The sequence below is a fragment of the Homo sapiens genome, chromosome 11, assembly GCF_000001405.40.
Source record: "Homo sapiens chromosome 11, GRCh38.p14 Primary Assembly".
Classification (NCBI taxonomy): Eukaryota; Metazoa; Chordata; class Mammalia; order Primates; family Hominidae; genus Homo; species Homo sapiens.
The window spans coordinates 125,053,190-125,063,304 of record NC_000011.10 but is presented as its reverse complement, the minus strand read 5'-3'; the positions used below and the strand labels follow the sequence as shown (position 1 = coordinate 125,063,304).

General features: G+C 43.7%; 1 annotated feature.

Annotated features, from left to right (window-relative positions):
- Positions 2-191: a silencer, noted in NCBI's record as "silent region_4036". NCBI's record gives its function as "represses an Ori minimal core promoter by ATAC-STARR-seq in GM12878 lymphoblastoid cells {active_cell/tissue: GM12878}" and the evidence as "EXISTENCE:reporter gene assay evidence [ECO:0000049][PMID:35858748]".

Genomic DNA, 10,115 nt, shown 5'->3' with positions numbered 1-10,115 from the left:
GGGCTGGACTGGCTGTCAGCGGGGTTTAAATGCCCCGCCGGCCGGCCCGCCCTGGCCCCGCGGCCTGAGTACGGCAGCGCCCGCCCCCTTGCGCCCGCCCTCGGGGTCGGGTCCAGCGCAAACCCGCCAGTCGTCCCTAGCCCGGCCGCTGGCACCACAGCGCTCCTGTGCTTTGCTTCCCCGCCACTGCCCGACAGCTCTGAGGTGCTGGGGCTCCTCATTCCGCCCTGCACTTTCTGCCTCACCACCCGCTGGGGAACCGAAAGCAGCAATCTCGACGCTGTCCGGTGTGACGTGCCTGCCTGCCCGCACTACCCCGCAGCGCTTCCTGTCCTAAAAAGCCATGGGCTCCGACACGGGCGGGACACGAGACGCTGGAGGGCTGGAAGTCACACTCAGCGGCCCTGCATGACTAATCTCGGTACTCTCACCTTCTGGGAGCGCAGGAGTTTTTTTCGTGGGCGGGGGCGGGGGGGGGACAATATTCGGCCCCAAACACACCACAGGCTCAGGCTGGGGCTTCCTGCCCTGCTCATATTCCACAGGACCCCACTCTTCCCCGGCTTCACAGACACCGGCCCCCACGCGCTCCCGCCATGACAATGTGGCAGTCACTCCTGCTCTCCTTTCTGGAGGCAAGCAGCCACCAGGCAGGGACTTCTGTGGTCCTGAAAGTGACTGCCTCTAGCCTGAAGATTTCAGGGTATGTTTCCACTGATAATTGTGAGATCCTTGTACATGAACCCAAGGGTGAAATACAGAAGGCTGCAAAGGGAAGTATTCCCCTGAGGAATAAAGTTAATAGAACATAAAACAGGAGTGTCGGAGCAAATGGGTTTCAGCCCTAACCCCACCCTGCCCCTAATTCCTAGGAGTGCCCAGGCCCTACGCGCAAGGTCAGAGAAGTGGAGTAACAACTCCACCAAACAGATTAGGACCTAGAATAATGGGCTTGGCTCGTACCAGCCCTAGAATCAAGAAAAAGAGGGTAAGCAGAGTTGTAAAAGCCTCTGTTAATCCCAGGCAGTCAGGGGGCATAGGTCTAGTGGCAGAAATGAAGACGGTAACACGCCAACGACAAAAGGTAAAGGAATAGAGAAAAGAAGAAAGGCATAAGTAGAAGGGAGGCCCAAATAGGGTGCAGAGGCTTGAAACACCAAAGGACCAGTGTCATTAGCGGCAATTCACTAAATCAAACCCCTGATTAGACCACTCACTGTACTTGGGGGTATATTCATTTCACTCTTACAAGTCAGTTAGGTGGCTATTACCCACCTAGGTAAGGTGACTTTATGTCCTGGTTTGCCTGGGACAATCCCAGGAGACACCTGCTGTCCCAGAATCTATGATGGACCCATTCTAGGGTCAATAATCACAGGTACCCCAGGTTAAGGTACTCCTTTAAGGGGCAGCAAATAAACTAGAGGAATGAGCTGATATCCCCAGGAAGGGAATTATTCCTACGCTGCTTATTTCTGAGGGACTAAAGGGAAGGATAAAATTGGAATCCAGTTGAGCCAAGGAAGCAGCTGAAGTTCCTTGATGCTACATTTGAGGAGTAGGTGGACATCACCAGAGGAATGGAAGAGACCATCTCCAGGGCTTCAGAGGTGCTGTCCAGACTTCAGCAGTGTGGAACATCTGTCTTTCCATTTCAGACAGAAGCCAAGAATAAGGGTCACTCCTGCTCATTTGTCAGGAAGCTGTGTTCCTGCCTCACAGGGGACCATGCCTATCTGAGGCTGGGACTCTAAGAAAGGCATTAGGAATATGCCCTCATGGTAGTACGGCTATTGTTCACAGTGCACCAAGTAGCTGGGAGCAGGGCCGGTACTGAAACAGACTTTGCCTTGTCACAGTTACTTCCTGTGAATTCCAGCCACGTATCCCTGTTCAGGGGCCAGGGTGGCAGTGGGAACACTCCCACCAATGTTGGAACTCTTTCTTGCTCGCTCCTGTTGGTGAGCTGGATGATCTCTGTGCTTCCTGCTGCTTGGGGGAGTGACAAAGAGGGATATTGTGCCTCAGGGAGTCCCTTCACTCACCTACACAACCTCACCACTCTCGACTCACCTTCTTGTTATTATCTGGCCCCCCTCCCACACACTACCTCCTCAAACCCTGCAGAATGTGGAGAGGATCTGAAGGAAATAAAGAGGGAGGGAAGGAGCTACTCAATCAAATGCTAAAGGAAAAGATCCTCAGTTCTTATATGGATAGCCTTATACTCTGTCAAAAATGCTTCCTATGGTTCAGTATGAGACACTTGTGAGAAAGAAGCCATTTTACCCATCAAATACCAGTCCCTACTGCTAGTAAGTTCCATGACCACCCACAGGACTGTTGGGGTAGCCAGTTGGTGTTTTATGCCCTTTAAGACACGATAACAAGTGTCTTCCCTGTTTTCTTCAAAGGGACAGAAGGATCTGAATGCTTAAGAAAGTCTTTGAGGACAAATGACATGAGAATAAGCCACTAGGTAACAGAACTCCAAAATTTTAACACATCCACAAGCATCATTTTTTGAACACATTTGCCTCCTTCCACTCCTGTCTTACTAAACAGAGAAAAGCATATTTTTTGGTAATACAATCAAGACCAGTCTTGATCAAGGGGGTAAGAACTGGGATATTAGGATAAATTGTAATTATTCAATCTTTTAAATATTCAATTTCATAGTAGGCCTTTTGATGGAGAGGCGGAGTGGTGCAGTAAAAAGAACATTGGCTTGGAGTCAGAACCAAGCCTGGTCAAGATACTTACTACTTCACTAAGCCTCAGTTCCCTCCTCTGTAAAATGTGTGTAACAGCACCCACCTTACAGAGTGCTGTAAGAATCAAAACATATGTGCATACAAAAAGTACAACAGTGCCTGGCCATATTAAATAGGTTTTGCAAATGGAGCAATTATGTGTGCAGGAGCTAATATATATGGTATTAGGGTCAGATATTGACTGCAGCTGACAGAAACCAATGACTGTCATAAATGAGAACAAAATATAGGGGTTAAAGGATCAAAATTCTTAAAAAGGATCAATGGGTATAACAAAATATATTTTTGACTGCAAAATCCTTAATATAATGTGCTTGTGTGTGTATCTGTGTATGTGTGTATATATATACAACTTAACCCACTGAGTTATTGTAAGCTTTGTGGTAATACGTGCTGAATAATTTGGGGTTCACAAGGATGTATGTATGGCTTGAGTAGAGTGTCATAAAAATGAAAGAAGTTATTGTCTTAAATATGTTGGATGCTGAAATCTCACTAAGAATTACTACTAAATTCTTCCCAGCTAACAGTCAAAAGATAGATAAGCAAGGTGACCAAAGGTATTCAAAAATATCTTATTTCTCAATAGAAGTCAAACTTCTGGAATGCTTAGCAAAGAACATCCCAGCCCTTATATAACTGGCCAAAAGTAGGGTTTCAATGTACTGAAGACTAGATTGATGGTTCATAATGGCCTGAAGAGTGGGCTTTGGAGACCTATCAGTCAACCAACAGGGCAGCCCTGCTTTCAAATGGTCAACCTCCTTAGGATACCAGTAGTGACAACAGGTATATACAAAGACAGCCTGACAGCCAGTAGTCCTTAGGAAGAGAGGAGAAGGATGAAGAAATGGTTAAATTATGAAAATTTCCCAAAGTCACCTTGTTTAGAGGAAAAATTAAAAGGAATATATGGTAATGACAAAAGTGAGGTAGTCTCAGCCTGGTCACACAGCTGGGGACAATGTTTAGTTGTTCTAGTATCTGAAAGTAACCATTCATTTACTTGCTTAATAAATATTTGTTGCCTGTAATCCCAGCACTTTGGGAGGCCAAGGCGGGAGGATCACCTGAGGTCAGGAGTTCAAAACCAGCATGGCCAACAAGATGAAACCCTCCTCTTCTAAAAATACAAAAATTAGCCAGACATGCTGGCACACGCCTGTAATCCCAGCTACTCAGGAGGCTGAGGCAGCAGAATCGCTTGAACCCAGGAGGCAGAGGTTTCAGTGAGCCGAGATCGTGCCACTGCACTCCAGCCTGGGAGACACAGCAAGACTCCGTCTCAATAAATAAATAAACAAACAAACAAACATTTGTTAAGTGACAACTATGTGCCAAGCACAGTGCTATGTGCTGAGGATACATTAATGAAAAAGACAGGCCAGGCACGGTGGCTCACACCTGTAATCCCAGCACTTTGGGAGGCTAAGGTGGGCAGATCACCAGGTCGATCGAGACCATCCTGGCTAACACGGTGAAACCCCATCTCTACTAAAAAAAAAAGTATAAAAAAAAAATTAGCAAGGTGTGGTGGCGGGTGACTGTAGTCCCAGCTACTCGGGAGGCTGAGGCAGGAGAATGGCGTGAACCCAGAGGGTGGAGCTTGCAGTGAGCCAAGATCGCGCCACTGCACTCCAGCCTGGGCGACAGAGCAAGACTCCGTCTCAAAAAAAAAAAAAAAAAAAAAAAACAGACAGACACAGTCCCTAATCCCAAAGAATTTACAGTCAAAGGGGACAGAGATGTATAGAGATAATCCCACTTCAAAAGCTTGGCAGAAGAGATCAACTCAAACAAGAAATAGGTTATATAAACAAGAAAATGTTCATGCTGATATGGTGGCACTGATCAAATAACTCCAGGAGAGTCTCAGAAGGCTTACTGTAGACAACATAAGAACTAGATTTGAAGAACAGCTTAGTGCATACCAAGTGAAGAGGAGAAAGGTGGAACCGGAAAATTGCATGTGCAAAATAAGGAACCATGAAAAAGCATGGTACATTGAAGAAATGGTGCATAAGACATTCTTTGTAGCTGGTGAGTACATGTGCAAGGTGGGGAGCTGCAGAAGATATGACTTATTACATGTGGTGAGATAGTGAAGAACCTTCAATGTCAACAATAACAGGTTGGAACTGTATTCTTTAGACAGTTGGGTGCTATAAGACAGCTTTAAGGGTGAAGACAGGATCAGATTTATGTTTTCAGAGGAGAAATGGCCATTTAACAGGGCTTTGTCAGACTTCCAGTTCTGGATGAAGATAGAAGAGATACACTTCTCTCTATTCTTCTTGCTAGGTACCGTTAAAAACCATTGACATTATATATAAAGCAAGCATAAGAAAACTCTGAAAAGTGGAGAGAAGACAGATCAGCGAGGGACCTTGAGATCTAAGGAAAGACAGTGGTGAGTTATCTGGGTTTGCTCTTGGCTTCATATATCCCGGACTGGGTGCTGAAGAAGCCAGCAAATCCAGAAGCACCAATGACACAGACAGAACACCAAAGCTCTCAGAAATGCTGGCTCTGTCTAGCCACAGGACCAAGGAAGGGGTAGCGTGGCAATAACCACCCTGCTCCAACTAAACCTCATAGAAAACACTGCAGCCCCACCCCACCTTATCAGCAAAGGCCAGTGGGGAACCTAGACTTCCACTTGCACCTGGCTGTAATGAGGGGTGCCCCCCCGCCCACCGCCTGGCTGGTGTCAGAGAACTCCAAGTGGGAAAGCAGGACTTTCACCACCTTCCAATGGTAAAGAGCGCCCCACCCCAACCACCAAGGTGTCATGGAGGTCACATGGGGAGCAGTAAGGAGCCCATACAGGGCGATATCAATGGAGGCCTAGTGGAGAGCCAGAACTCCCACCCTTTCAAGCAGTAATGAGGTGCCCTGCCCTGCCTCCCCGAACCAGGGATGTTAACAGAGGTCAAATAGGAAACCTGGACTTTCACCCCCCGCCACCCCTGGCAGAGTAGATAAAAAACATTACCCAAATACATGCTGTCACTTTCCTAAGAAACTAAAATACACTTACCATACACTTATTGTGCTCCTGGGCTTTTATCCCAGATAACTGAAAATTTCCATCCATACAAAAACCTGTACATGAATTGTCCATAGCAGCTTTATCTATAATAACAAAAAACTGGAAACAACCAATATGCCCCTCAATAAAGTTAAACAAATTGTGGTACATTCATACCATGAAATACTACTCAACAATAAAAAGAAATGAACTATTGACATAATGGCATTATGCCAAGTGAAAAAAAATCAATCTCAAAAGGTCACATACTGTATGATTTCATTTATATAACAATCTCAACATGACAAAATCATAAAAATGGAAAAGGGATTAGAGATGGACTGGAGTTAAGGAAGGTGGTGGTTGAGAGGGGTGTAACTTTATAGGGGTAACACAAGGGAGGTCTTTGTGGTGACAGAATAGTTCTGTATTTTGTTTGCATTGGTGTTTACGCAAATCAATGCATGTGATAAAATAGCAGACACACACATACTGTACTACGGTTATGTCAAATGTAATCACTGGGGAAAACTAGGTAAGAGGTACCAGGACGCCTCTGAACTGTTTTTGTAACTCCCCGTGAATCTATCCTTAGTTTATAAAAGTCTTATATATATAAAAGCTCTGTCAACTTTAATTTCCTTTTAGTAGTTCTCAGTTTTCTAATTCCAGAAACAGGATGGGAGAAATTTACTTTTTAAGTAGAAATCTTTCCTTTGGAGAATATGCTATGGAGCAGCATGGTCAGCTGCCCATATTAACTCAAGTACCTCACTAGCAATACAGATTTCAGTACTGTGCCTTGGATTCCAAGTTACGATACTCGTTTTTTTTCTTCAACTTTTAAGCTCAGGGGTACATGTGAAGGATGTGCAAGGTTGTTACATAGGTAAATGTGTGCCATGGTGGTTTGCTGTACAGATCATCCCCTCACCTAAGGATTAAGCCCAGCTATTCCCCCTGGTGTTCTCCCTCCACACCCAGCCAGTGCCACCCCCAGCCCCCACCCCGCCTCTGACAGGCCCCAGTGTGTGTTGTTCTTGCCATGTGTCCCTGTGTTCTCATCATTCAGCTCCCACTTGTAAGTGAGAACATGCAGTGTTTGGGTTTCTGTTCCTGCATTAGTTTGCTGAGGATAATGGCCTCCAGCTCCATCCATGTTCCTGCAAAGGACATGATCTTGTTCCTTTTTATGGCTGCATAGTATTCCATAGTGCGTATGTACCAAATTTTCTTTATCCAGTCTATCATTGATGGGCATTTGGGTTGATTTCATGCCTTTGCTATTGTGAATAGTGCTACAATGAACATACCTGTGCATGTATCTTTATAATAGAATGATTTATATTCCTTTGGGTATATACCTAGTAATGGGATTGCTGGGTCAAATGGTATTTCTGTCTGTAGGTCTTTGAGGAATTGCCATACTGTCTTCCACAATGGTTGAACTAATTTATACTCCCATCAGCAGTGCAAAAGCGTTCTTTTTTTCTCTGCAATCTTGCCAGCATCTGTTGTTTTTTGACATTTTAATAATAGCCATTCTGACTGGCATGAGATGGTATCTCATTGTGGTTTTGATTTGCATTTTTTTAGTGATCAGCGATGTTGAGCTATTTTTTTAAACGTGTAACTCTGCTTTTATCGAACAGCTTCATCGGCACCTCTAGACGGCTAGGAGATAATACTCCTCCCTACTACTCAGACAAACAAATTTAACTTGCAGAGAACAGACATGCCTGGTTCACACAGTGATGCTGGTGGAAAGATGAGACAGAAGCTCTCCCCAAGGGCCACTCCATTTGTAGAAACAGATTCCTTCTTATCATTTGGGACTAACCTCTGTCCCTGTGACCAATTAAGCCTATGATAGGCTTAATTAAGCCTAAGATAGGCTCAAGGAAGTTGTGGGAATGCCTCCCTGCCTTACACTGCTCCTTAGGTCTACAACTAGGAATGCATTCTTATTGTAACATCGTGAAGCAAGAGGAATGAAACAGGGAGAACAGGTTGAACAAATGAAAATGGAAATGGGTTTAGAAATCAAAAGCATGTGACTTCAAGAAGAACAATCATGCCTTTCACAGGCAAGGACTGAAAGGTCTTCAAGTGAAGAGTTTTATTAGTAAGATTAAAGAAGGTCTGAATAAACAAACCAGCACTACACAATAAAGACTGAAGATATCCCTGCTGCCTCTAGATGTCTACAGCATCCCCAACAGGTAAGCTCCAGATCTGGAAAAACTCAACTCTTTCATCTGCTTTGTCCCAGCAAAAACTTCATCCTAGAATTTCCCTACAACTCTGTAACACTAGCCTGAGAGCCCTGGCTCCTAGTACACTGTTGGCATTCCTTATTGTAAAATATACGAAGAACAGGCTACAAGAGTCAGGAATCAAGATCAAGATGGAAATTTCTGGGAAAAGAGTGCTGATCCACTCTACCTTCTTAGAAACTCATTCTCAAGCCCAAATGTTTCTTTCTTCAAAATTAACATCCAAATGTTCACTGTATGCCAAAGCATGCCTTAGTAATTTCTATTTTCTTTCCTTTTTTTTAATTAAAATAATTTGTTTTAGAGACAGGATCTTTCTCTGCCACCTAGGCTGGAGGGCAGTGGTGCTATCATAGCTCACTGCAGCCTCGAAGTCCTGGGCTCAAGTGATCCTCTCATCTCAGCCTCCTGGGTAGCTGGAACTACAGGAATGTACCATCATGCCCAATTAATTTTTTTTTTTATTTTTGCCTTTTTAGAGATAGGGGCCTCGCTATGTTGCCCAGGCTGGTCTCTACCCCTGGCCTCAAGTCATCCTCCCCCCTCAGCCTTGGGATGACAGGTGAGAGCCACCATGTTCAGCTTGTCCAGTATTTTCTGATCACTGTTACTAAACCTTTTCTCCCCCTTCTTAGTAATGAATTGAAACAAGTACTTCCTAGTTTATGATAACAGAGTTTCAGCTAGAGAGAAATGGACATGCCCAGATATCTCTAGAAAAGCCAGAAAACACTTCAGTTTCTTTCATGTTATTGTCTTATCAAGTCCTCGTCTACTGCACAGAATGAAATTTAAGGCACGCACACACACACACACACACACACACACACACACACACACCTCAAAATTTAACAATCCAATCACGTTGAAAACAGATGCACTATGAACAAATACACAGTCCAGTTAACAAGTATTTTAAAAGTTAAATCTGAAATTCCTTATGAAAACTTCCAGCAATGTAAACTGAAGGAGACTTTTGTGGTAAATTAAAATGCTTACCGTACTTATAGTTAGATCCAATCCAATGAGACCGGCCTTATTTTGTGATCAAGCATAGTCTTTCTTTCAGACTATTTTGATCGAAATGGGAGAGGATGTAGAAAAAAATTTATGTTTCAGTGGAAAATAATGTATTGTCTAGAGGACACCCCTCCAAAGTGACCTGATTTTAGCCTAAAGTTCTCCTTGGTTTAACAATTCTGCAAACTGTAGATAAATATGAAAAACATCAGTTTTGCCTCCATTTGCACATCCAATCCAACATTCTTTTATCTATATAAATTTGTGCATTTTTTTCCTTTTTTCTTGGAACCAGTTGAAACATCTACTTATTTCCCTCATGAATTAAATGTTTAATGCACGTTCATTTTTATATCTGTATGAGTCATGATCTTACCTTTTTATGAAAATTATCTTTTAAGATATATAAACATTATCATATAATTCAGAAAACCTATATGCTAAATAGTTACAACTAGTATACTATATAATTGGGCAGGAATAATTGCTTCCGAGTGAGAGAAATCAGGTTAAGTGTTCACAGACAGATGCTACTAGTACTTTGCCTTAAGAGTTATTAGAATTTTAAGACTCAGAATTTGAAGAATATTTCAGGCAAACAAAAGGCCTGTTAATCCTAAGGGACTCTCATGGTAATGGACCTAGCCAGCTTTTAGAGTCCCCAAGGAGAGGCCAGACTCAGTCCCGTGTGATTCATGCAGGGGCAATACCCAACTTGGAACCAATCCCAGTGAATCTGTCTACCATCCTACCTGGCAAGGCTTACAGTCCCAACTATTCAACTGAAGAAAGGCTCCTGGGAAACACAGAAGCATGAGGTGTGATGGTAACTGGGATAAGTGGCTCATGGATCCAAAGCAATGTGTCTTGAAATGAGCATCACAACCCACTTCCTGTGTGTCATACAGCAGAACTATATACCACATGCTATACCACAACCTGAATAAATTCCCTATTCCTGCTGCCTCAGTGGGCCAGGTAGTAGTGATATGGATCCAATTATATCCTACTTCT